This window comes from Homo sapiens, chromosome 19 (assembly GCF_000001405.40).
Source record: "Homo sapiens chromosome 19, GRCh38.p14 Primary Assembly".
Lineage (NCBI taxonomy): Eukaryota > Metazoa > Chordata > Mammalia > Primates > Hominidae > Homo > Homo sapiens.
In genome coordinates, this window is record NC_000019.10 from 45429226 (window position 1) to 45454834 (window position 25609).

General features: G+C 51.3%; 1 protein-coding gene and 1 non-coding gene across 5 annotated transcripts in view, besides 9 other annotated features; one reads left to right on the plus strand and one right to left on the minus strand.

The window, feature by feature from the left end:
• ERCC1 (ERCC excision repair 1, endonuclease non-catalytic subunit) overlaps window positions 1–22322 on the minus strand; it is a 44214-nt gene extending 21892 nt beyond the window's left edge. For 2 of the 4 annotated variants that reach the window (NM_001369417.1, NM_001369414.1), the window contains exons 1-2: window positions 21416–21541; window positions 19948–20019 (exon numbers count right to left, since the gene is read on the minus strand). The gene's annotated coding sequence lies outside the window, so the exon portion shown is untranslated. Of the gene's footprint in view, window positions 1–19947; window positions 20020–21415; window positions 21542–22250 lie in introns of those variants that run through there. The other 2 variants (NM_001369413.1, NM_001369412.1) reach the window with 2 other exon arrangements.
• Window positions 1900–2059: a silencer, noted in NCBI's record as "silent region_10765". NCBI's record gives its function as "represses an Ori minimal core promoter by ATAC-STARR-seq in GM12878 lymphoblastoid cells {active_cell/tissue: GM12878}" and the evidence as "EXISTENCE:reporter gene assay evidence [ECO:0000049][PMID:35858748]".
• On the plus strand, window positions 7429–7479 carry MIR6088 (microRNA 6088). Its single transcript, NR_106736.1, has one exon. It is a non-coding gene; the product is annotated as a microRNA 6088 (primary transcript).
• Window positions 10316–10815: a silencer, noted in NCBI's record as "silent region_10766". NCBI's record gives its function as "represses an Ori minimal core promoter by ATAC-STARR-seq in GM12878 lymphoblastoid cells {active_cell/tissue: GM12878}" and the evidence as "EXISTENCE:reporter gene assay evidence [ECO:0000049][PMID:35858748]".
• Window positions 10316–11167: a biological region, named in NCBI's record as "H3K27ac hESC enhancer GRCh37_chr19:45943151-45943650".
• Window positions 10668–11167: an enhancer, noted in NCBI's record as "H3K27ac hESC enhancer chr19:45943151-45943650 (GRCh37/hg19 assembly coordinates)". NCBI's record gives its function as "activates a minimal SCP1, AML or CMV promoter by ChIP-STARR-seq in naive H9 embryonic stem cells {active_cell/tissue: H9 hESC(naive)}" and the evidence as "EXISTENCE:reporter gene assay evidence [ECO:0000049][PMID:30033119]".
• Window positions 10826–11005: a silencer, noted in NCBI's record as "silent region_10767". NCBI's record gives its function as "represses an Ori minimal core promoter by ATAC-STARR-seq in GM12878 lymphoblastoid cells {active_cell/tissue: GM12878}" and the evidence as "EXISTENCE:reporter gene assay evidence [ECO:0000049][PMID:35858748]".
• Window positions 15045–15244: a silencer, noted in NCBI's record as "silent region_10768". NCBI's record gives its function as "represses an Ori minimal core promoter by ATAC-STARR-seq in GM12878 lymphoblastoid cells {active_cell/tissue: GM12878}" and the evidence as "EXISTENCE:reporter gene assay evidence [ECO:0000049][PMID:35858748]".
• Window positions 21634–21763: a silencer, noted in NCBI's record as "silent region_10769". NCBI's record gives its function as "represses an Ori minimal core promoter by ATAC-STARR-seq in GM12878 lymphoblastoid cells {active_cell/tissue: GM12878}" and the evidence as "EXISTENCE:reporter gene assay evidence [ECO:0000049][PMID:35858748]".
• Window positions 21924–21973: a silencer, noted in NCBI's record as "silent region_10770". NCBI's record gives its function as "represses an Ori minimal core promoter by ATAC-STARR-seq in GM12878 lymphoblastoid cells {active_cell/tissue: GM12878}" and the evidence as "EXISTENCE:reporter gene assay evidence [ECO:0000049][PMID:35858748]".
• Window positions 25256–25315: an enhancer, noted in NCBI's record as "active region_14797". NCBI's record gives its function as "activates an Ori minimal core promoter by ATAC-STARR-seq in GM12878 lymphoblastoid cells {active_cell/tissue: GM12878}" and the evidence as "EXISTENCE:reporter gene assay evidence [ECO:0000049][PMID:35858748]".

Here is a 25609-nt window from a genome sequence, read left to right on the forward strand (position 1 = left end):
CGAGGAGGGCAGATCACCTGAGGTCAGGAGATTGAGACCAGCCTGGCCAGCATGATGAAACCTCATCTCTACTAAAAACACAAAATTAGCCAGGCGTGGTGGCTCATGCCTATAATCCCAGCTACTCGGGAGGCTGAGGCAGGAGAATCGCTTGAACCTGGGAGACAGAGGTTGTAGTGAGCCAAGATCGCGCCACTGCACTCCAGTCTGGGCAAAAACAGCGAAACTCCATCTCAAAAAAAGAAAGAAAGAAGGAAAGAAAAATAAAGACAGAATGGAGGACCTATTTATACAAAATGAGAAAGGCGGAAAGAGGGGAGGTGAACCAGATATACACACTTGTTTCTCACCAGCAAGAGAACTGGGATGTTCTGGAGGCAAAGGAATGGACTCAGGGACCCTGGGTAGTTGCCATTCCAGAGCACATGCCATTCTCCACTTGTCACGATTTCTTGCATACTGTTCCCATTCCCTAGAATGTTCTTCCTTGCCTTCTCAGCCTTGAGAACTCATGTACCTCCAGGACCTGGTGCCCAGGGCAATTCCTTTATTTTTATTATTATCATTATTATTATTTGAGACAGAGTCTCGCTCTGTCACCCAGGCTGTAGTGCAGTGGCATGATCACGATTCACTGCAACTTCCGCCTCCCAGGTTCAAGTGATTCTCCTGCCTCAGCCTCCTGAGTAGCTGGGACTACAGGCGCATGCCACCACACCCAGCTAATTTTTTATTTTTAGTAGAGATGGGGTTTCACCATGTTGGCCAGGCTGGTTTCGAACTCCTGACCTCAGGTGATCCACCCGCCTCGGCCTCCCAAAGTGATGGGATTACAGGCATGAGCCACCGCGTCCAGCCGGAGCAATTCCTCAAATAAAAACTCCGTGACCCACTGAACTGGGAGCCCCATAAGGGCAGGGTCAAGGCCATCTCAGTCATCGCCTTGTCCCCAGCGCTGCCCAGCACAGGACAGGCCTTGGGATAAATTAACTGCATGAATAAAAGGTGCTGGTGATAAAATAAAATGACATTTCCCGTTATAATAGCAAATGTTGATTGCATGCTCTGTGACCGGCACGCATGATTCTGAGCCTTATCTCCTGTGGGCCTCGCTGCAGCCCTGCAGGGATGTACTTTTATTATTATTATCACCGCCATCCCTATGTTAGAGATGAAGACACCAGGCCCAAAGGGGCTAAAAGTACTGGATCTCACTGCTTGCACTCAGAGCTTTCTCTTAAACCTAGGTCACCTTGGCTCCAAAGGTGTTCGGTTTCCAGCATACATACATCTGGGTCCTGTGGAACCAAAAGCTAGGGAGTGAGTCTCAGCCTGCAGCCCAAAGAACCTTAGGGGGTTCCCCAGCACCCCTTTGGGGGTCTACAAATACAAAATTATTATCATAAGCGGGGCGCGGTGGCTCATGCCTGTAATCCCAGCACTTTGGGAGGCTGAGGCATCAGGCGGATCACGTGAGGTCAGGAGTTTGAGACCAGCCTGGCAAACATGGCAAAACCCCAACTCTACTAAAAATACAAAAAATTAGCAGGGCATGGTGGTGGGTGCCTGTGATTCCAGCTACTTGGGAGGCCGAGGTGGGAGAATTGGGAGATGAAGTTTGCAGTGAGCTGAGATTGGGCCACTGCACTCCAGCCTGGGCAACAGAGCAAGACCTCGTCTCAAAAAAAAATTACCATAATAATATTGACATAATATATGATACACCATAATAATAATACTTAGTTGGGGGGTGGGGTCTCAGCCTTCCCCAGGCTGGAGTGCAGTGGCACGATCTTGGCTTACTGCAACCTCCACCTCCCGTGTTCAAGCGATTCTCCCGCCTCAGCCTCCCAAGTAGCTGAGACTATAGTCATGCACCACCATGCCCGGCTAATTTTTTTGTATTTTTAGTAGAAACGGGGTTTCACCATATCAGCCAGTGCAGTTTCCATGATATTGCAACAGACCAAATGCAGACACACACGTGAGGACCCAGCTGTCTTCTGTTAAGCCTGACGTGAAAGTGATTTGCAAAAATTAAAACAATGCCCTTCCTCTCACTAAGTTTTTGTTTCAGGCTGTGCATGGTGGTACATCCCTGTAATTCCAGGACTTTGGGAGGTCAAGGTGGGAGAATGGCTTAAGCCCAGGAGTTCAAGACCAGCCTGGAGGGCCGGGAGCAGTGGCTCATGCCTGTAATCCCAGCACTTTGGGAGACTGAGGCGGTGGATCACCTGAGGTCAGGAATTCAAGACCAGCCTGACCAACACGGAGAAACCCATCTCTACTAAAAATACAAAAATTAGCTGGGCGTGGTGGCACACGCCTGTAATCCCAGCTACTTGGGAGGCTAAGGCAGGAGAATCACTTGAACCCAGGAGGTGGAGGCTGCAATGAGCCAAGATCATGCCATTGCACTCCAGCCTGAGCAACAAGAGTGAAACTCCATCTCAAAAAAAAAAAAAACCAGCCTGGGCAACTTAGGAAGACCCCTATCTCTACAAAAAATGTTAAAATGAGCTGTGCTTGGTGGCGCGTGCCTACGTTCTCAGCTGCTTGGGAGGTTGAGGTGGGAGGATCACTTGAGCCTAGCAGGTGGAGGCTGCAGTGAGTCTTAATTATACCCCTGGCACCCCAGCCTGGACAACAGACTGAGACCCTGCCTCAAAAAAATTTTTTTTTATTTTGGAAAACATGGTTATTTTCATGTAAAAGATATAACTTACATTAACATTCAATTAATTTTTTATTTTTTTATTTTTTTGAGATGGAATCTCGCTCTGTCGCCCAGCCTGGAGTGCAATGGCGCAATCTTGGCTCGCTGCAACCTCCGCCTCCCGGGTTCAAGCAATTCTCCTGCCTCAGCCTCCCGAGTAGCTGGGACTACAGGCATGTGCCGCCACACCGGGCTAATTTTTCATATTTTAGTAGTGACGGTGTTTCACCATGTTAGCCAGGCTGCTCTCGATCTCCTGACCTCATGATCCACCCGCCTTGGCCTCCCAAAGTGCTGGGATTACAGGCATGAGCCACCACGCCTGGCCAACACAAAATTAATTTATTATTATTATTATTATTATTATTATTATTAGTTATTTTTAGAGATGGGGGTCTTGTTGCGCTGCCCAGGCTGGTCTCAAACTCAAGCGATACTTCCACCCCAGCCTCCCAAGTAGCTAGGATTACAGGTTTACACCACTGCACCCAGCTACTTTTAAATGAATCAACAAATATTTCTAAAATTTCTCAGTTTTGATTTCCATTACAGTAAATATTGATAGAAATCATACACATCAACAAAAACTCTTTGGGGTCCTCAATACATTTTTTAAATTTTAGACAGGGTTTCACTCTGTTGCCCAGGCTGGAGTTCAATGGTGCAGTCATAACTCACTGCACGCTTTGAACTGGGCTAAAGCAGTCCTCCCACCTCAGCCTCCCAAATAGCTAGGACTACAGGTGCATGCCACCACTCCTGGCTGCTTTTATTTATTTTTGTAGAGACGGGGTCTTGCTATGTTGCCCAGGCAGAGGCCTTCAATAATTAGGAGTGTAAGGGGGCCAGGTGGAGTGGCTCACGCCTGTATTCCCAGCACTTTGGGAGGCCGAGGTGGGCGGATCACGTGAGGTTGGGAGTTCGAGACCAGCCTGACCAACATGACCTGACCAACATGGATAAACCCTGTCTCTACTAAAAATACAAAATTAGCCGGGCATGGTGGCACATGCCTCTAATCCCACCTACTCGGGAGGCTGAGGCAGGAGAATCGCTTGAACCTGGGAGGCGGAGTTTGCGGTGAGCCGAGATCGCGCCACTGCACTCCAGCCTGGGCAACAAGAATGAAACTCTGTCTCAAAATAAATAAATAAATAAATGGATTAGGCCGGGTGCGGTGGCTCACACCTGTAATCCCAGCACTTTGGGAGAACAAGGCAGGCAGATCACTTGAGGTCAGGAGTTTGAGACCGGCCTGGGCAACGTGGTGAAACCCTGTCTCTACTAAAATTACAAAAATTAAGCCGGGCACAATGCCTCATGCCTGTAATCCCAGCACTTTGGGAGACCAAGGCAGGTGGATCACCAGAGGTCAGGAGTTCAAGACCAGCCTGGGCAACATGGTGAAACCCCGTCTCTACTAAAAATACAAAAATTAGCCAGGCGTGGTGGCATGTGCCTGGAATCCCAGCTACTTGGGAGGCCAAGGCACGAGAATCGCTTGAACCTGGGAGGTGGAGGTTGCAGTGAGCCGAGATTGCGCCATTGTACTCCAGCCTGGGTAACAGAGTGAGAGTCCATCTCAAAAACAAACAAATTAGCCAGGCATGGTGGTGCACGGATGTAATCCCAGCTACTTAGGACGCTGAGGCCAGAGAATTGCTTGAACCCGGGAGACAGAGGTTGCAGTGAGCCGAAATTGTACCACTGCACACCAGCCTGGGTGACAGAGCAAGACTCTGTCTTTAAAAAAAAAAAAAAAAGAATCAATGAACTAACAATCATACAAACCTGATTAGTGTCATGAAGGACAAGAATGTGGAACATCATTTTAACTTTGAAGGAGAGGACGAGTGGATGGGAGGGTAGCGGAGGTTTCTCTGTCAAAGGAGCATTTAAGGAGAGACCTGGCTGGGCACAGTGGCTCACACCTGTAATCCCAGCACTTTGGGAGGCCAAGGTGGGTGGATCACGTGAGGTCAGGAGTTCGAGACCATCCTGGCTAACATGGTGAAACCCCGTCTCTACTAAAAATACACGCACACAAAAATTAGTCAGGCATGGTGGCATGCGCCTGTAGTCCCAGCTACTCGGGAGGAGGCTGAGGCAGGAGAATCACTTGAACCCGAGAGGCAGAGGTTGCAGTGAGCCGAGATTGTGCCACTGCACTCCAGCCTGGCCAACAGCAAGAATGTCTCACACACACACACACACAAAAAAAAAAAAAAAAAAAAAGAGGAAGAAGAAGAAGAGACCTGTCCATGTGCCCTGGCTCACACCTGTAATCCCAGCACTTTGGGAAGCTAAGGCTGGCAGATCGCTTGAGCCCAGGAGTTTGAGACCAGCCTGGGCAACATGGTGAAACACCGTGTCTCTCCAAAAAATACAAAAAAAAAAAAAATCGCATGGCTTGGTGGCATGTGCCTGTAGTCCCACGTACTCGGGAGGCTAAGGTGGGAGGATCACTTGAGCCCAAAAATGTCAAGGCTGCAGAGGGCCATGATCATGACAATGCACTCCAGCCTGGGCAACTGAGTAAAGCCCTATCTCAAAAAAAAGAAAAGAGAATCTATCTGGCAGTTTTCTCTCTTGCCTTCCAATCGTTGCATCTCATTTATTTTTCTTGTCTTACAGCATTTTTTTGTTTTTGCTTTTGTTTTCCGAGACTGAGTCTTGCTCTGTCACCCAGGCTGGAGTGCAGTGGTACGACCTCAGCTCACTGCAACCTTCGCCTCCCGGGTTCAAGCAATTCTCCTGCCTCAGCCTCCCGAGCAGCTGGGACTACAGGCGAACATTGCCACACCCGGCCTTTTTTAAAAATTTTTTTATTTTTATTTTTATTGTTTTTTTTGAGACAGAGTTTCGCTCTTGTTGCCCAGGCTGGAGTGCAATAGTGCGATCTTGGCTCACTGCAACCTCTGCCTCCTGGGTTCAAGCGATTCTGCTGTCTCAGCCTCCTGAGTAGCTGGGATTACAGGCATGCACCACCACGCCCGGCTAATTTTTTGTATTTTTTTTTTTAGTAGAGATGGGGTTTTTCCACGTTGGTCGGGCTGGTCTCAAACTCCTGACCTCAGGTGATCCACCTGCTTCAGCCTCCCAAAGTGCTGCAATTACAGGCATGAGCCATGGTGCCTGGCCAAATTTTTGTATTTTTAGTAGAGACGGGGTTTCCCCATGTTGGCCAGGCTGGTCTCAGACTCCTGACTTCATGATCCATCCACCTTGGCCTCCCAAAGTGCTGGGATTACAGGCATGAGCCACTGTGCCAGGCCCATTTTACAGCATTTCAAACACTTCCAGGACTATGCCGCACAGTAACATTGATTCTCACAGCAGCCCTCCACACTACAACCCTCTGAGATGACTTATCTCACCATGCCCATTTTACAGAGGGAGAAACTGAGGCACAGGGAAGGTAGACTCTTATCCAAGGCCACATAGCAGGTAAACAAACAAACTAGGACTCCAACCAAACCTTGTGCTCTGTCTCAGCCTTAAAAGAAAACTCAATAAACATTCTGGCCTTTTTGTTTTTGTTTTGAGACCTTTATTCTGTTACGCAGGTTGGAGTGCAGTGTGGTGATCACAGCTCACTGCAGCCTCAAACTCCTAGGCTCAAGCAAACCTCCTACCTCAGCCTCACAAGTAGCTGGGACTATAGGTGTGCACCGCCAGAGCTGGCTATTTTTGTGTAGAGATGGGGTCTCGCTATGTTGCCCAGGCTGCTGATCTCAAACTGCTGGCCTCAAGGGATCCTCCTGCCTTGGACTCCCAAAGTGTTGGGATTACAGGTGTGAGCCTCCATGTTCAGTCCACATTCTGTACTTTTTTTTTTAGATGGAGTCTCACTCTGTCACCCAGGGTGGAGAGCAGTGGCGCAATCTTGGCTCACTGCAACCTCTGCCTCCCGGATTCAAGCGATTCTCTCAAGTCTCAGCCTCCCAAGTAGCCGGGAGTACAGACATGTACCACCATGCCCGGCTAATATTTTTTGTATTTTTAGTAGAGACGGGGTTTCACCATGGTGGCCAGGTTGGTCTTGAACTCCTGACCTCAGTTGATCTGCCCACCTCATCCTCCCAAAGTGCTGAGATTACAGACATGAGCCACCGTGCCCAGCCTATTTTTTTTAAAACGGGAAAAATATCTGTAAATTGCCACAGTGACCCACGGAGCCTGGATGAAGAGCGGGAAGCCTGAGGTCTCCTTCAGTCTCCATCCTCTCTCTGAGCCTCAGTTTCCTTCCCTATGTGGAAGGGTTGGAAAAGATGTTCTCTAAAAGCCTCAGAAACTCTGCCGTTAGCGTGGAGGGGACAGAAGCTCAAACAGATTGCATTAGTTTCTTAACGGCTACTATAACAAATTATCCCCAATTCAGTGACTTAAAACAAGAGAAATTCGGCCGGGCGCCGTGGCTCACGCCTGTAATCCCAGCACTTTGGGAGGCCGAGGCGGGCGGATCACGAGGTCAAGAGATCGAGACTATCCTGGTCAACATGGTGAAACCCTGTCTCTACTAAAAATACAAAAAATTAGCCGGGCATGGTGGCGGGCGCCTGTAGACCCAGCTACTCGTGAGGCTGAGGCAGGAGAATGGCGTGAACCCAGGAGGCGGAGCTTGCAGTGAGCCGAGATCACGCCACTGCACTCCAGCCTGGGTGACAGTGAGACTCCGTCTCAGACAAACAAACAAACAAAAATAGTTTTGTAGAGATGAAGCGGGGGGGCGGGGTCTTGCTCTATTGCCTACGCTGATCTCAAACTCCTGGCCTTGACATTGCAATCTGCCCGCCTTGGCCTCCCAAAGGGCTGAGATTACGAGTGTGAGCCACCCTGGCCTAAACATTTAAAACGACATGTGTGACAGCCAGGCATGGTAGCCTGCACTTGTAATCCCAGCTCCTTGGAAAGCTGAGGTGGGAGGACCCCGTGAGACCAAGAGTTGGAGATCAACCTGGGCCATACAGTGAGACTCCATATATAGTGGATTCCAATATAGTGAGACTTTAAAATATAAAATAAGGGCCGGGCATAGTGGCTCACGCGTGTAATCCCAGCACTTTGGGAGGCCAAGGTGGGTGAATCACCTGAGGTCAGGAGTTCGAGACCAGCCTGACCAACATGGTGAAACCCCATCTCCACTAAAAATACAAAATTAGCCAGGCGTTGTGACACACGCCCGTAATCCCAGCTACTCAGGAGGCTGAGGGAGGAGAATCGCTTGAACCCAGGAGGCAGAGGTTGCAGTGAGCCTTGATCACGCCACTGCACTTCGGCCTGGGCGACAGGAGCAAGACTTCATCTCAAAAAAGAAAAAGAAAATATATATGTGTGTGTGTATATATATATATAATAAGTAAAAATAAAATCGTACATATGGATCTAGCAGACTCATATACCTCTGGTTATATTTCCAAAGGAATTGAAATCAGGATGTCGAAGGGTTATCTACACTCTCAAGTTCATTGCAGCACTGGTCACAATAGCCAAGATATGGAGTCAACCTAAGTGTCCATCAAGGGACATAATGGATAAAGCAAATGTTGCATATACACACGATGGAATACTATACAGCCTTGAAAAGGGAGGAAATTCTGCCATTCAAGACAACATGGATGGAACTGGAGGACATTATTCTAAGTGAAATAAACCAGACACAGAAAGACAAACACCACATGATCCCACTTTTATATGGAATCTTAAAAAGTCGAGCTCATAGAAACAGTATAAAGGTGGCTACTAGAGTCCAGGGAAGTGGGAGAGGGTTGGGAAAAGAGAAGATGTTGATCAAAGGGTGCAAAGTTTCAGCGAGACTGGAGAAATATATTTCAGTGATCTATTGCACAGCATGGTAACCACAGTTAATACTAATGTATTGTGTATTTCAAAGTTGCTAAAATAGAGTTTAAATTTTTTAAATTTGTAAATATTATTTTTTATTTTTTGTCACTACGTGTTCTCATCTGATTTTTTTTTTTTTTGAGACGGAGTCTCGCTCTGCTGCCCAGGCTGGAGTGCAGTGGCACAATCTCGGCTCACTGCAACCTCTGCCTCCTGGGTTCAAGTGATTCTCCTGCCTCCGCCTCCCGAGTAGCTGGGACTACAGGCGTGTGAGACCACGCCCAGCTAAATTTTTTTTGTATTTTTAGTAGAGATGGGATTTCACCGTGTCAGCCAGGATGGTGTCGATCTCCTGACCTCGTGATCCACCCGCCTCCGTCTCCCAAAGTGCTGGGATTACAGGCGTGAGCCACTGTGCCCGGCCTCTCATCTGATTTTTTTTATTTTTATTATTGTGCTTTTTGTAGAGATGGCATCTCACTACATTGCCCAGATTAGTCTCCAACTCCTGGGCTCAAGCCATCCTCCTGCTTCGGCCTCCCAAACTGCTGGATTTATAGGCGTGAGTCACCGCACCTGGCCCTGACATCTTGATGTCAATTTATTTGCAATATACACCCAGAAGTGGGATTGCTGGATCCATATGTGTAATTTTATTTTTTATGTGTTTGTTTGTTTGTTTATTTATTTATTTTAAGACAGTCTCACTCTGTCGCCCAGGCTGGAGTGCAGTGGCACAATCTCGGCTCACTGCAACCTTTGCCTCCCATGCTCCTGTGATCCTCCTACCTCAGCCTTCTGAGTAGCTGGGACTACAGGTGTGCACTATCACGCCCGGCTAATTATTTTTATTTATTATTATTATTATTTTTTAAGACAGAGTTTTGTTCTTTTTGCCCAGGCTGGAGTGCAATGGCTGGATCTCGGCTCAGCGTGACCTCCGCCTCCCTGGGTCCAGCAATTCTCCTGCCTCAGCCTCCCAAGTAACTGGGATTATAGGCATGCGCCACCACGCCCGGCTAATTTTGTATTTTTAGTAGAGACGGGGTTTCTCCGTGTTGGTCAGGCTGGTCTCGAAATCCCGACCTCAAGTGATCCGCCCCACTCGGCCTCCCGAAGTGCTGGGATTACAGGTGTGAACCACCGCGCCCGGCCCGAAGTTATTCCTCTTATCTGACTGTAGTTTGGTATTTTTTAACCGCATCTCTCTGTTCTTCCTCTCCCAACCCCATCTCTACTAAAAATACAAAATTAGCCAGCCGTTGTGGCGCATGCCTGTAATCCCAGCTACTCGGGAGGCTAAGGCAGGAGAATTTCTTGCACCCAGGAGGTGTAGGTTGCAGTGAGCTGAGATCGCACCACTGCACTCCAGCCTGGGCGACAGAGCGAGACTCTGTCTCAAAAAACAAAAACAAACAAACAAAAAAACAAATAGCGCCTCGTTTTCTGGGAGGCAGTGAATTCCCCATTTAGGAAGTGTCCAAGCTCAAGTTGAAATGATGGTACATTGCGGTTCATGCTGCAATGCCTCAACCCAGTTCCTCTCCGGACCTCAGTTTCCTCATTTATAAAATGGGTGTGGACGACGAGGTCAGATTTAAAAAAATAATAATAGTAGTTAATAATAATAGGCCGGGTGCAGTGGCTCAGGCCTTTAATCCCAGCACTTTGGGAGGCCGAGGTAGCAGGATCGCTTGAGCCCAGGAGTTCTAGACAATCCTGGGGCAATATAGCGAGATTCTATCTCAAAGAAATAATCATAATCATAATAAAAATAAATGAATAGATAAGCTGAGACGGACTCAGGCCCAGCTCCTGCCTGCGATCCCTGCGGGGGCCACCAGGGGGCGCGGCGCCCCTGCCCAAAACTCCGCCGTCGGCTCTGAACCCCGGCGGACGCGTCCCGACGCCCCTGGAAGATTCTGCGCCCTGCCGGCTCGCCGGCGCCCGGGAGCCCGGGAGGCGGGTGTGCACGCGGGGTGTCCAGGGCGCCCCCGATCGAGGCCCCCTCGCCGTGCCTCGGGGTAGGGGGACGGCTGTGACTCAGGCGCGCGCTCCTCCCCGGGGCCCTCAGTGGTCGCGAGGGGGCGCGCACGGCCTCGGGAACCCGCGCGGCGCCGCGTCCATTTTTACCCCAGCTCCGCTAAAAATAGTTGCCGCGCTCCGAGCCGAGCCCGAAATAGCGGCCCCCAGATAAGGCAGGACGACTCAGCGCTTCCGGGGAGCGGAAGGGGGAGCGCGCGGGGGGAGCGGTGCTGGGCGCAGCCCGGCCGAGCAGGCGCCGCTGTCCCCAGCGCACCCCCACTCTGCCCTGGCGGTCACACTCGCCCCCGACTGCGACCCCGCCCCGCCGCTAGCCTGGCTGCCTTCCTACGTCCCCCACATTGTATCCTCATCCCCTGTCCCCCATCCTCAGCTTCACCTCCATTCCTCATCATAACTCCCCCCTCCCCTACACCCCCAGCGATGTCCCCCACTGGTACTCATCCGCATCCCCCAGCCTGTCCTACTCCTGTCCCTATTTCCCCTCTCCACCCTCATCGCCAATCTCCTGTCGTCCTGAATCTGCCCCTTACCATCTCTGTCCTCAAGGCCAACCTTTATGGGGGCAGAGCAGGGCGAGAGGATCACAGGGAGTCAGGAGACCTGCGGGCTGAGGGCTGAGGGCTGGGGGTGAGGATCTGATTTCTTGGTTTGTTTCTACTGTGGGCAGGGGTAGGCTTAGATCTGGGGGTTGGAGCATGGGACACTTCAGTCTGGCCTAGTCTTCAGAGCTGAGGCGAGGCATGGCCAGCATCACGGCTCATTCTGTGACCAGGGTCGGGGCTCAGGCTGGGGAAGGATGACCGTCTTTGTCACCAAATTTGATCACTGTGTCACCAGAGTTAGGGCTCAGCCTTGAGCCGTTTCTTTATTTACCCACCTCCACTAATATTTTTTATTTCAGACAAGGCCTTGCTCTGTCGCCCAGGCTGGAGTGCAGTGTTGCCCATGCTGGAATGCAGTGCTGGGATCTTAGTTGACTGCAGCCTTGAACTCCTGGGTTCAAGAGATCCTCCCACCTCAGCCTTCCTAGTAGCTGGGACTACAGGTGTGCACCAGCACACCTGGCTAATTTTTCATTTTTTTGTAGAGACAGAGTCTCCATGCCTTGCCCGCCTTGTCCAGGCTGGTCTTGAGCTCCTGGCCTCAAGCTATCCTCTGGCCTCCTCCTAGGAAGGCACTGAAATGACAGGCATGAGCTACAGAGCCCGCCTCCACTAAGATTCTTTCCTCCCTTGCAAGTCAGTGATTGGACACAACAGCTCCAGGCCTTGGGAACAGTCAGAACTCTGTTCCCTGGGCCTAGGTCTTCCCTTTGCACTGAGATCATCTAAGGGCCTCCCCATTTCCATATCCTGAGATTCTCAGTGCCCACTCCAAGCATCAGTGTCAGGCCTCAAGGACCTACACTGCATGTTCTGGGGGTTTAAAGGGAGCACACTGACTTCCCTGAGGGTGACAGAGGTCAGAATGAGTGACTAAGGTCTTGGGCCTGGCCCTGACCCTGCAGTGGGTGGGAGAGATACCCAGTTGAGGCCCAGGTCTCCACCCAGGTAGCAGGGTGGATGGCGGGGGGGTCATCCCTGAGGTGAAATGTGGGTGGAAGATACCTAGATAAGTTTCAGAGTCAGTGCAGAGATGGTAATTTTTAAGTAACTTCTAAAATTTTCGAGTAGCTGGGATTACAGGCGCCTGCTACCAAGCCTGGCTAATTTTTGTATTTTTTTGTAGAGACGGGGTTTTACTATGTTGTCCAGGCTGGTCTCAAACTCCTGACCTCAAGTGATCCGCCCACCTCGGCCTCCCAAAGTGCCGGGATTACAGGCGTAAGCCACTGCGTCCAGCCTAATTTTTTTTTTTTTTTTCTGAGACGGAGTCTTGCTCTGTCACCCAGGCTGGAGTGCAGTGGCGGGATCTCGGCTCACTGCAACCTCTGCCTCCTGGGTTCAAGTGGTTCTCCTGCCTCAGCCTCCCAAGTAGCTGGGACTACAGGCCAGGCGCATGCCACCACGCCCAACTAATTTTTTGTATTTTTAGTAGAGACGGGGTTTCACAGTGTTAGCCAGGATGGTCTCGATCTCCTGACCTCATGATCCGCCTGCCTCGGCCTCCCAAAGTGCTGGGATTACAGGTGTGAGCCACTGTGCACAGCACTTTTTTTTTATTTTATTTTTTTTAATTTTGAAAACTGTTTAGAGGCCAGGTGCGGTGGCTCATGCCTGTAATCCCACCCAGCACTTTGGGAGGCCGAGGTGGGAGGATTGCTTGAGCCCAGGAGTTCAAGACCAGCCTCGACATTATAGTGAGATCTCATCTCTGGGAAAAAAATTTTTTTTAATTAGCCAAGTGTGGTGGCATGCACCTGTGGTCCCACCTACTCAGGAGGCTGAGGTGGGTGGGAGGATCGGTTGAGCCCAGGAGGTGGAGGTTGCAGTGAACCGAGATGGCACCACTACACTCCAGCGTGGGCAACAGAGACCCTGTCTCAAAAAAAAAAAAAAGAAAAAGAAAAAAAGTTTTGGTAACTACAAAAGGGTATACCTTGGAAAAGTAAATTTCCCTCCCACTCTGATCCCCACTTCTCAATATTAACTATTTTTTATGTATCTTGGCCAGTAGGATTCACTGAGCTCTCACGATGTCCCTGGCCTATGCAAAGCCCATCACAGAAATGAAGTGGCTGGAATCATTCAGCACTCAGTGAGTAGGCCAGACCCCATTGCTATGCCCATTTTAGAGATGGGAAAACTGAGGCTTGGAGAGGTGCAAGGATGTGTCCTTTTGAGGGCCCGGTTCTGAAGGCTTTTCAAAGTTGAGGCAAGGAAGTGGATGAGATCAAAGAGGCAAGGTTCAGGCCAGGATACAAATCCCAGGGAGGGTGACAGGGGTGGGGAGTCAAGGAAGGCTGCCTGGAAGAAGACTAAGGGTAGCCAGGAAGGCATCTTCCAGAACCTTCTGATGGAGGGCTTGGATGGAAGTAGATAACTCTGTTTGGCAGGCTGAGGAACCACCAGCAGCAGGGCGTGGCCCCTCCTCAGACCCACAGCACCCCAGAGGTATGTATAGAAGAAGCAGGCTGCTTAATGACATCTCAGGGACACATCTCGGTGATAGCACAGCCGGCTTAGTTATGACGTCTGAGTGATTTGCCAACTGCCTTAAGACCAGCATCCCTAGTCATGCCCCGCGGGGGGGATGAAGATAAGAGGAAGTGACAGGCCATCGGGGGAGGAAGGGGAGATGCAGTCACACACAGACCAGGGACTCAGGAGCTGAGGGATGTGTGGTGCCCTCTGCACTAGGGAGGGGTCTCCCAGCTGCCTGGATGTGAGGGTCCATCTTATTGATTTGTCTAGTGAAGGAGGCCAGGCTCCAAGGAGGTATGGCTGTAGTCAGTCACACTCAGTTTGGGATGGGGTCCGCCCAGGGGCTGCAAGGATCAGTCACTGCTGTGTCCCCATCACCTAAGGCAGTAACTGGGACACAGCCGGCGCTCCATACATCTTACTGAATGAATGAATCGAATGAAAAGGGTCAGCACCGTCTGGGACTCAGTTTACCCTCGCGGTCATTGGGCTGCTTCAACCAAGGGGATCGCTAAGAACACCCCTCCCCACCTTGGGTCCCAGATCCCAGATCGCCAGTGAGTAAGAAAACGGGTTCGCGCCGTTGGTGGACTCCGCCCACTTGTGACGTCACGAGCCGCTCCCCCAGGATCCCGACCCAGGCGTCTCCCTTGGGATGGGGGCGGAGAGGAACCCGGGAGTCCAGACTCAGGCCCCGCCCCCGGGAGCAGGCGGGCCGGGCAGGGTTACACAACCCGTCGTCGCGTCCCGAGGGAAGTCGCCGGATGTCCTGGCCGGGCCGGGGACAATGGGCAAGGAGGGCCCCTCCCGCAGGAACCTGGAAGTGGCAGGGGCTCCCCCTCTTCTGATTCACCCTTGTTTCCGGCCCGGTTTAGCCTCCTTCTCCCTGGGGATCCTATCTCCTCCCAACTCTACCCTCCTGTGGCCCTGCAGTTCGGTTCTTTCTCCGAACCGGCAAACCTCTCTCCTCTACACCCCGTACCCCGTCCTTTCACACCTTCCCAACGCCCCCCGAAACTCTCTGCCCTCACACTCATCGCTTGTAATTCCCGAATCCCCTAAACTTCCAGTGTCCCCGGTCCTTCCTTCACTCATCCATACCGGGCCCCTCTTCCCACCCCCTCAACTACCCCCACTATCCTGCCCAGGCCCTCCCAATCCCCTCCCCGGGCTCCCCCAAGCTTTCCTCAATATCTCCCAGCCCTCCCTAGCCCCCGACTCACCCGCTTCCCTCCAACTGACCCCAATACACTCTCTTGTCCTCCTAATCCCAGCCTCCCGCAGTTCCCTCCTGTCTCCTCGAACTGCCCCATGTCCCTACCTCATCTCCCCAAATCCTGTTCCCCATTTCCCCCCCTCCCCCAGCCAGCCGCTTCGCCCCCCACCCCGGAGCCCCTCCCCGCCCCTAGGCCCAAGGCCGGCCCGCGCCCCTCCCGGGCGCGCTCCCACGCCCGGCGCGGGTTCCCAGGCCGCCCCCCCGCGGTGGCCCAGAGACCCAGTTTGCTGCGGCAAAACACTGGTCTCCAGGCAACAGGCCCCGCCCCGCCCCAGGGCCGCCAGATGAGGCTGGGCGGTCAGGAGGCCACCGGGCCGGGACGGAGCACCCAGGCCTGCGCGCCAAACCCTCGGCCTTGGCCCCCAGAGGCCTCAGGGCGCAGAAACCCGGAGACTGAGGCGCAGCAAAGAGGAGATACAGAGATCAGGGCCCCGGAGCAAGAAATTCGGAGACATGCGTGGAGGCCGAAGCAACAGGGAACTGTCGGGGCGCAGAGATATAAGGAAAGACCACGCGACAGATCGAACAAGGACGGGGCCCAGAAATAAGCACAGAAATAATGCAGTTACACACGGGCAACACCGAGGCCGGCAGGGACGCCCCTGATGGCAGAATAATCCATCTTTAGTCCTCAGGACCTTTGCACTCAGTTCGAGGGACTTCCCCTCTCTGACTCTGTTTCTGTATTTGTAAAATGGGGACATTAATACGCAGCGCTTAGCAAATCAGGCTGTTCTGACGATTCAGTGAATTCGCAGACCCAGAGCTTGTAGCACAATTCCTGGCATGTACACTCATCATTCATTCATTCAACCGATTTTTTGTTGTTGTTGTTATTGTTGTCTGAGAGGAGTTTCGCTCTGTGGCCCAGGCTGGAGTGCAATGGTACCATCTGGGCTCACTGCAACCTCCGCCTCCTGAGTTCAAGCAATTCTCCTGCCTCAGCCTCCCAGGTAGCTAGGATTACAAGCCTGTGCCTCCACGCCCAGCTATTTCTTGTATTTTTAGTAGAGACACGGTTTCACCATGTTGGCCAGGCTGGTCTGAACTCCTGACCTCAAGTGATCCACCCACCTTGGCCACCCAAAGTGCTGGGATTAGAGGTGTGAGCCACGGCACCTGCCCCAATCAACAGGTATTTATTGAGCATCTACTATACGCCAGGCACTGGTAAAGACTGTGAGAATGCAGTATTGAACAAGACAAAGCTCTCTGTTCTGGAAGCTTACTCTTTGGAAATTGGAAGGGGGATGACCAACAATAAATGAACAAATGAGCAAATTAAGCAAATTATATAGTACTTTGGAAAGTAGTAAGTGCTGGGAAAAGCAGAGACAGGGGGTTGGGGGTTGCTATTTTAAATGGGATGGTCAGGGAAGGCCTAAATGAGAAGGTGATGTTTGAGCAAAGACTAGAAGTTGGTTTGGGAGAAGCCATGCAGATATGTGGCCTAAGCAAGTGCAAAGGGTGTAAGGTGAAGACATGTCTGGTGTGTTGGAGGAACACGGAGGCAGCTAGTGTGGGTGGACAGAGAGAACGTGGGGAGGGCACTGGAGCAGAAGAGGTCAGAGAGACTAAGGGCTGATCCCGCAGGGCCCGATGGGCTGAGGTGAAGTCTTTTACAGAGTGGGTCAGGAGCTATGGGAGGGTTTTGAGCAAAAGAGGGATGTGAACTGTTTCTTATTTGTTAATTAATTTATTTATTTATTTATTTTGAGACAGAGTTTCTTTCTTGCTGCCCAAGCTGGAGTGCAATGGCGTGGTCTCGGCTCACTGCAACCTCCGCCTCCTGGGTTCAAGCGATTCTCCTGCCTCAGCCTCCCAAGTAGCTAGGATTACAGGCTCGTGCCACCACGCCTGGCTAATTTTTTTTTTGCATTTTTATAGAGATGAGGTTTCACTCAACCCAATGTTGGCCAGGCTGGTCTCGAACTCCTGACCTCAGGTGATTTGCCCACCTCAGCCTCCCAAAGTGTTGGGATTACAGGCGTGAGCCACCGCGCCTGGCTTGTTTTTTATTTTAACAGGGTCCTTTGGGTTGTAGGTGGGGAATAGACTTTGGAGGACAAGTGTGGAGTCAGGGAGACCAGTCACTGTCATGGTCCAGTTGAGTCCAATGGTGACTTGGACTAGGAGGTAGTAGGGATCGATTCTGGAGGCCTTTGAGTTAAGAGAGGCAAAATTTGCTGACAAGCACATTCATAGCAAGCCATCAGTAGATGGCAGCACTTTCCATTATGTTAGGTGGTACTCACCACATCCCCATAAAAGTTAACATCCCTATTTTACAGATGTGCAAACTGAGGCCCAAAGAGGTCGCTTAACTTGCCTAAGGTCTCACGGCTCAGTCTAGCTCCAAAGATGGTACCCCTCTATTGGGACGGCTATTCCCAAGCCCACACACCCGAACATAACACTCTCAGTGCCTAGATTTACATCTAAACCTGTACTCATCCATGTGGGCCCCAGGACTCCCGGAGCCATGTCCTCATCAGTCACATGGAGCCGGTGTAGAAAGTAGGAGCTGGGCCGGGAGAGGTGGCTCACAACTGTAATCCCGGAACTTTGGGAGGCCAAGGCGGGCAGATCACGAGGTCAGGAATTCGAGACCAGCCTGACCAACATGGTGAAACCTCATCTCTACTAAAAATACAAAAATTAGCTGAGCGCAGTGGCAGGCGCCTGTAATCTCAGCTACTCAGGAGGCTGAGGCAGGAGAATCATTTGAACCCGGGAGGTGGAGGTTGCAGTGAGCCAAGAACGCGCCATTGCACTCCAGCCTGGGTGACAGGGTGAGACTCTGTCTAAAAAAAAAGAAAAGAAAAGAAAGTAGGAGCCAGATGGGGAGAATGCTGGCCCAGGACACTTGCTTAGAGGCAGGTTGGCACAGGCACAGAGGGTCCACCCAGAACCTCCCAGCCCAGCATCTGGCTCCCACATCCAATCACGGCCTAGGCCTGGCACACCCCAGCACTACGTGCAGCAACATGTGAAACACAGTCACGCATACACACGGAAATGTGGCCTTCTGCTCTGGGAATGCATTTTCAGGCAGTGTGCAGAAAACACAGATTTGCTTCTTTTTTTTTTTTTTTTTTTTTTGAGACAGAGATTTGCTCTTGTCATCCAGGCTGGAGTACAGTGGCGGGATCTAGGCTCACTGCAACGTCTCCCTTTCAGGTTCAAGCGATTCTCCTGCCTCAGCCTCCTGAGTAGCTGGAACTACAGGCACGTGCCACCACACCCAGCTAATTTTGTATTTTTAGTAGAGACAGGGTTTCACCATGTCGGTCAGGCTGGTCTTGAACTCCTGACCTCAGGTGGTCCACCTGCCTCCGCCTCCCAAAGTGATGGGATTACAGGCGTGAACCACTGTGCCGGGCGTCTATCTCTTTATGTCTCTGTATCTCTCTGTTTTCTTTTCTTGTCTCTATCTCTGACCTTTGTCTCACTCTGACCCAGCTCTGTCTCTCTCACGCCTCCACACTCAGGATCCTCTAACTGCCGCAGAATGACTCTTGTCCCTGGCTGTGTGTTTCCATAGGACCTCACCTATTATGTACCATGAGAACCTGGCCTCTGGACAGGTGTGTCCAGCCCCAGGTCGGCAATTCTGGCTGGTTGCTCAGAATCACCTGGGGAGTAACTCACATAGCATAATTCTCTGGGCTTCTTTCTCTGAGATTTTTTTTTTTTTTTGAGATAGTATCTTGCTCTGTCACCCAGGCTGGAGTGCAGTGGCACAATCTCAGTTCACTGCAACCTCTGCCTCCCAGGTTCAAGTGATTCTCCTGCCTCAGTCTCCCAAGTAGCTGGGACTACAGGTGTATGCCACCAAGCCTGGCTAATTTTTGTATTTTTAGTAGAGACGGGGTTTCGCCATGCTGGCCATGCTGGTCTCAAACTCCTAACCTCAGGTGATCCACCCACCTCGGCCTCCCAAAGTGTTGGGATTACAGGCATAAGCCATCGCGCCCGGTCGTCTTTCTCTGAGATTCTGACCCACAGCTTGTGGGTGTGGAACTGGAGGAACCCACCTTTAAAATACTCCCCAGTGACTGGGACCCCTGCCTGCTTGTACTAGTTACTGCATCTGATTTTACAGACAGAGAAGAGTCAAGGCCCAGAGAGCAGACAGCTCACCCCAACATCACACAGCAGTCAGCTGCGAGGGGCTTGGTGCTACTCAGATTTCTCCTAAGAATGTTTGGAAACAACCTGAGGGAGAGTTAAGTAATAAAGGAAAATCACAAACAGAGACAGAGACCCAGAAAGGGACTCACGGGAATAAAAGCAGAAAGTGACAGAGATACATAGAGATGATGAGACAGAGACAGAGAGATCAGAGATAGGGTTCAGAAAAAAAGAAGAGAGAGGCTGGGCACAGTTGCTCACGCCAGTAATCCCAGCACTTTGAGAGGCGGAGATGGGAGGATCTCTTGAGCCCAGGAGTTTGAGACCAGCCTGGACAGCATAGTAAGACCCCATCTTTATTTAAAAAAAAGTTTTTATTAATTTAAAAAAAATGCAGAGAGAGATAAACACACATCAGAGGCTGAGAAAGACAAAAAGCTATTTGGGGGCCTAGAAAGACCCCCCACCCCGCCCCAGGAGAGATGTATTTTCTTTTGAAGGAGACAATACCGTCTCCTTGGCCCATGCTTTAATAGGCCCTACTTCCCAGAAACAGCCAGTGCCATGGTTTAGCAATCTCAGCCTTACCAAGCCAGGTCTCCTCCCCAGGCTTGATATGTAGGATGCACATTAAATACGTTTATATAACCTGCCCTCTGTGCAGAATCAAGGAGCTTTACATAACGTAGCCCTGTGAGTCATGCGGCAGACACGGGGCACTGACCTGACATGCCCAGTGAGAGGGGACCCCTCGCCCAGGACCTTTACCTGGAAGTGATTGTGAAGGATAAGGGATCATGCATTTCACTGAAGAGGAAGCAGAGGGTTAGAGAAGGCAAGGCACTTACTTGGGGTCACACAGCCAGGATTCAGCACAGCAAGGATTCCAACCACATCTGCTAGTGCCTTATCACGTGATCCTTTACAGAGTGGAGGAAACAATAATAAAAACACCTCTAGTAATACAACGACTGCTGTGTATTGAGTGCACCGGGCTGCAGTAAGTACTTTACAAACACCGTCTTATGTATTCCAAAACCCAGTGAGGAGCTGGACGCTGTGGCTCACGCCTGCAACCCCAGCACTTTGGGAGGCCAAGGCAGGAAGATTGGGTGAGCCCAGGAGGAGTTCGAGACCAGCCTGGGCAACATAATGAGACCCCCGTCTCTAAAAACAAAAAATAATAAAAATTAAAAATTAAAAAATTAGCCAGTGCCTATAGTCCCAGCTAGTTGGTAGGCTGAGGCGGGAGGATTGCTTGAGCTCAGGAAGTGAGGCTGCAGTGAGCTGTGATCATACCACTGCACTCTAGCCTGGGCAACAGAATGAGACCTTGTCTCAAAAAAAACCAACAAAATGGCCGGGCGCGGTGGGTCACGCCTGTAATCCCAGCACTTTAGGAGGCCGAGGTGAGTGGATTACTGGAGGTCAGGAGTTCAAGACCAGCCTGGCCAACATGGTGAAACCTCGTCCCTACTAAAAATACAAAATTAGCCCAGCATGGTGGCGGGTGCCTGTAATCCCAGCTACTCGGGAGGCTGAGGCAGGAGAATCACTTGAACATGGGAGGCAAAGGTTGCCGTGAGCCGAGATCATGCCATTGCACTCCAGCCTGGGCAAAAAGAGCAAAACTCCATCTCAAACAAAACAAAAAAAGCCCAGCGAGTTAGGGACAGAATCCAGTTATTAAATAACATAATTAAACCTATTTTATACGGAGCACTTATTATGTACTAAGTGCTTTACCGGATTTGATGGTCACAATTCTAGGGGTGGGTGATGTTATCACCTCCATTTCAGGAAGGAAGGAGGCTCAGAGGAAGTCACAGGTCAAGGTTCCGGAGTGGGTAACTAAACCCAGTCCTTGCTAGCCCTGTATCTCTATCACCTACTCCCATGCATACAGGTCCACAAGCATGCCTATGCACACGTGCAATCAATATTGCACTAACATCTCCAAACACTCTAGTTGAAATACCCAGAGCTCCCGCCTTATATCTTTTCTCTTCCTCAAGAAGGCTAACCCAGCCTCCAATCCCCTAAACCTTCATGAGCCAGGGAAGGAACCCTCTTCTTTCCCTCTAACGCCTCAGTTCCGCCACGCGGCCGGCCGAGGTCGGCGCTGTAAAATGCTCCTGCTCCTTTAAGAGAATGAACAGTCCAGGCCGGGCGCGGTGGCTCACGCCTGTAATCCCAACACTTTGGGAGGCCTAGGCGGGTGGATCAACTGAGTTCAGGAGTTCGAGACCAGACTGACTAACATGGCGAAACCCCGTCTCTACTAAAAATACAAAAATTGGTCGTGATGGTGCGCACCTGTAATCCCAACTACTGTGGAGGCTGAGGCAGGAGAATCGCTTGAACCCGGGAGGCAGAGGTTGCAGTGAGCCGAGATCGCGCCATTGCACTCCAGCCTGGGCCACAGAGCGAAAGCGAGACTCCGTCTCAAAAAAAAAAAAAAAAAGAGAGAGAGAATGAACAGTCGGCCGGCGTTGCCCGGCAGCGCCGCGCCGGTTGCCGGGCAACGTCAACAAACGACGCGGCCGCCGTCTCCGTGCGCCCGCCCCCCCCCCCCCCCCCCACGCCCGCGCAGACGCGGTGACGCGACGGACTGTGGAACGCCGTCGCCTAGCAACGCGAGGGCTGTTTGTCCCGGGCTGGGTGGCGCGGCCGCACAGGGCGCAGCCAGGACCGGCCCGGGCGGACAGACCGGCCCGCCGGGAGCCCGGGGCGGGGGGTGGAGGGGATTGCGGTGATGGAAGCGGGGGAGAACCGGGTTCCCAAATTACCGGTTTCCCTTTAGACAGCCGCCGTCTGTTGTCGCCCGCTCCTCCTGTCTGCCCCGGGACCGCCTCCGCTCGGGTATCTGTCCGTCTGCGCCCCCTCCTCCCCGGCATGTCCGTCTGTCCAGCGCCTCCCGCGCTGTGGCTGTCTCATATCCCCCCCAAACCATCACAACCAAAATAGGGACAAGCACACACTTCGCTGGCCTGCCGTTTCTGCCTTGGACTGCCGGATTTCCGGGTGCATTGTTGCGGTTGGGGTCCCCACCAGGGGAGACAGACAGACAAGGGGAGACAATCTGTTCACACTCAAGCCACAGCCCCAAAGCCCTCCCGTTCCTTTCCCCGCTCCCTTGGGGTTCTCTTGCCTGTCTTTCTCGAGCCTCTTTCAAGAGACAGGCAGCCCGTGGTCCTTCCATCCTGTGTCCGGGAAGCTGTCCACAGCTGGGAGGTTCTAACAACTCATCCCCAACACACACTCCCAACACCCCCCCATCCAGTAGCTTCATGTGACCAGGGCTGGGGCGAATCTCCGAGCAGAGAGAAGAAATTGAGTGTGTGACAGTGTGAATGGATGTGACTATAGGTGAGCAACAGTCGGTGACAATGTGCACATCTGGTATTTCCTGTGTGAGAGCAAAACTGCAGGACTCAGTGAGTGGTTTCTGTGGTTTGCACTTGTGTATCTGGGTGTATGGGAGTGTGTAGCCCTGCTGACTGTGTAGATATGAATGTGTGTGCAGTTGTGAGTCTTGCATGTGGTCATCTATGTGAAACAATGCCTGTATAAGTACCCATGGATGTGCACGGTTTTGCCTCTAGCCGTGCATTTCTGGTTCTGTGTGTGTGTGTTTCTGGTTTTTTCGTTTGTTTTTTAGAGATGGGGTCTGGCTGTGTTGCCCAGGCTAGTCTTAAACTCCTGGGCTCAAGCGATCCCCGCCGTCTCAGCCTCCCGACTAGTGGGGACTACAGGCAAGCGCCACTACACTCGGCTAATTTTCTGGTTTTTTTTGTAGAGACAGGATCTTGCTGTGTTGCTCAGGCTGGTCTCCAATTCCTGGCCCCAAGTGATCCTCCCACCTCGGCCTTCCACCACAGTGCTAGGATTATAGGCATGAGCCACCGTGCCTAGCCATGTGTGTTTCTGGATTTCTGTGTGTAACCATGCAGGTACCTGCGTTTGTGTACAGATTATTTTTCAGAGCTCCCTCCACAGCATTCATTGCAATGTCTAATTATATATTTGTTCCTTTGTTTACTGTCCATCTCCCCCACTGGACTGTGCACCCTGTGAGGGCAGGACCCAAGGCTGTTGTGGTCACTGCCAGGTCCCCAGCACCACCCTGCACAGAGAAGGTGCTCAGTAATTCCTTGTTGGGTAAATGAATCGATGACTCTTATGTCCATGTCGAGCACACACATCCATGTAACCCTGCAAGTGATTTTGTGGTACTGGGTCTTCTGTGTGTGTCTAGAAGCTGCGTGGGCCATAGCACAGGAGGGTCTCTGTAGCCATGTAGCTCTAATTTTTGGCACCCCCCACAGTGCAGGGCACATATCAGAGCCTCATGGCACATATCAGGGCCACGTGGAGTAGGAGGCCAGGTGCACTGGCTCACACCTGCAATCCCAGCATTTTGGGAGGCTAAGGCAGGAGGATCACTTGAGACCTGGAGTTCAAGACCAGCCTGGGCAACAAGGTGAGACCCTGTCTCTACACATAATACAAAAATTAGGCCAGGCGCAGTGGCTCATGCCTGTAATCCCAGCAATTTGGGAGGCCAAGGAGGGTGGATCACCTGAGGTCAGGAGTTCGAGACCAGCCTAGCCAACATGGTGAAACCCCATCTCTACTAAAAATAAAGAAAAAAAAGCCAGGCATGGTGGTGGGTGCCTGTAATCCCAGCCACTTGGAAGGCTGAAGCTAAAGAATTGCTTAAACCCGGGAGGTAGAGGTTGCAGTGATCCAAGATCACGTCATTGCACTCCAGCCTGGGCAACAAGAGTGAAACTCCGTCTCAAACAACAACAACAACAATAAAAACAAAACGAAAATTAGCCGGGCATGGTGGTGCACACCTGGAATCCCAGCTACTTGGCAGGCTGTGGTGGGAGGATCATCAGAGACCAGGAGATCAAGGCTGCAGTGAGCTGTGATTACACCACTGTACTCCAGCCTGTACAACAGAGTGAGACTTTGTCTCAAAAGAAAAACAAAAAACAAAAACAAAAATTTAAAAAACCCCTAAAAACTATGGATTTGAACTCTGTTGTCTTTTTTTTTTTTTTTTTTTTTGAGACAGAGTCTCACTCTGTCACCCAGGCTGGAGTGCAGACGTGTGATTCCGTCTCACTGCAACCTCTGCCTCCCGAATTCTCCTGCCTCAGCCTCCCAAGTAGCTGGGATTACAAGTGCCTGCACCACGCCCAGCTAATTTTTGTGTATTTTTAGCAGAGACGAGGTTTCACCATGTTGGCCAGGCTGATCTCAAACTCCTGACCTCAAGTGATCCACCTGCCTCAGCCTCTCAAAGTGCTGGGATTACAGGCGTGAGCCACCGCGTCCGGCCGAACTGTGTGGCCTTCCTCCTGCTAGCATTAGGACCTCTATGCACTCGGTTTCCTCATCTGTCAAATAGGGAGAATAATAGACCCAGTTTATGGGACTGTTGTGGGAGAGTAAATGAGTTCATATGGAAAGCATTTAGAAAATGCCTGGCAGAAAACAAACATTTACAAAATACCTGTTTTGATTGTTGTCAGTATTATTACTTCCTCTGTGTGTGTCCTTGGATGTGCGTGTGCGTGTCTAGAATCTGGGTTGCAGATGCAGGCTTTAGCTCTGTAGTCCTGTGTTACTGGGTACCCAAATGCCCTGAGTCTCACTTTCCTTCCTATACCATGGGCATGTTCCAGACCTTCTCCAGGGCCAGTTGGGACTCAATGAAGCTGCATCTGGAACACCCCAATGGCTACAAGGCCCAGCCGTGGTCTGGTTTCAGGAAAGGTAAATGAAGGGTGAAGTTGGGACGGGATGGAATTGAGGTTCAAATCACTCCATGGGACTGGGAAAGTGGGAAGTGAAAGAGGGATGAAAGAGCGCATTTGAAGCAGGCAGACTGAGGGTCAGACTCCAGAAAGGACTTCCTCCTAGGACTATTTTGGGGCTGGGAACTATAAGAAATGAACTGTTTTGCTGGGCCTGGTGGCCTACACCTGTAATCCCAGCACTTTGGGAGGCCGAGGCAGGCAGATCGCAAGGTCAAGAGATCAAGATCATCCTGGTCAACCTGGTGAAACCCCATCTCTACTAAAAATACAAAAATTAGGTGGGCGTGGTGGCGCGTGCCTGTAGTCCCAGATACTCAGGAGGCAGAGGCAGGAGAATCACTTGAACTCGGGAGGCGGGGGTTGCAGTGAGCCGAAATTGCGCCACTGCACTCCAGCCTGGTGACAGAGCAAGACTCCCTCTCAAAAAAAAAAAAAGAAAGAAAAACATGAGCTGTTTGGAGAGCTGCCTGGAGGAAGAGAAACCAGCCTGAGTTTCACAGGCTAGTGGAATTTGGAGGGGGGCAATAATAGCAATAACAATAGGCCAGGCACGGTGGCTCACACCTGTAATCCCAGCACTTTGGGAGGCCGAGAAGGGTGGATCACCTGAGGTCTGGAGTTCGAGACCAGCCTGGCCAGCATGGCAAAACCCTGTCTTTACTAAAAATACAAAAAA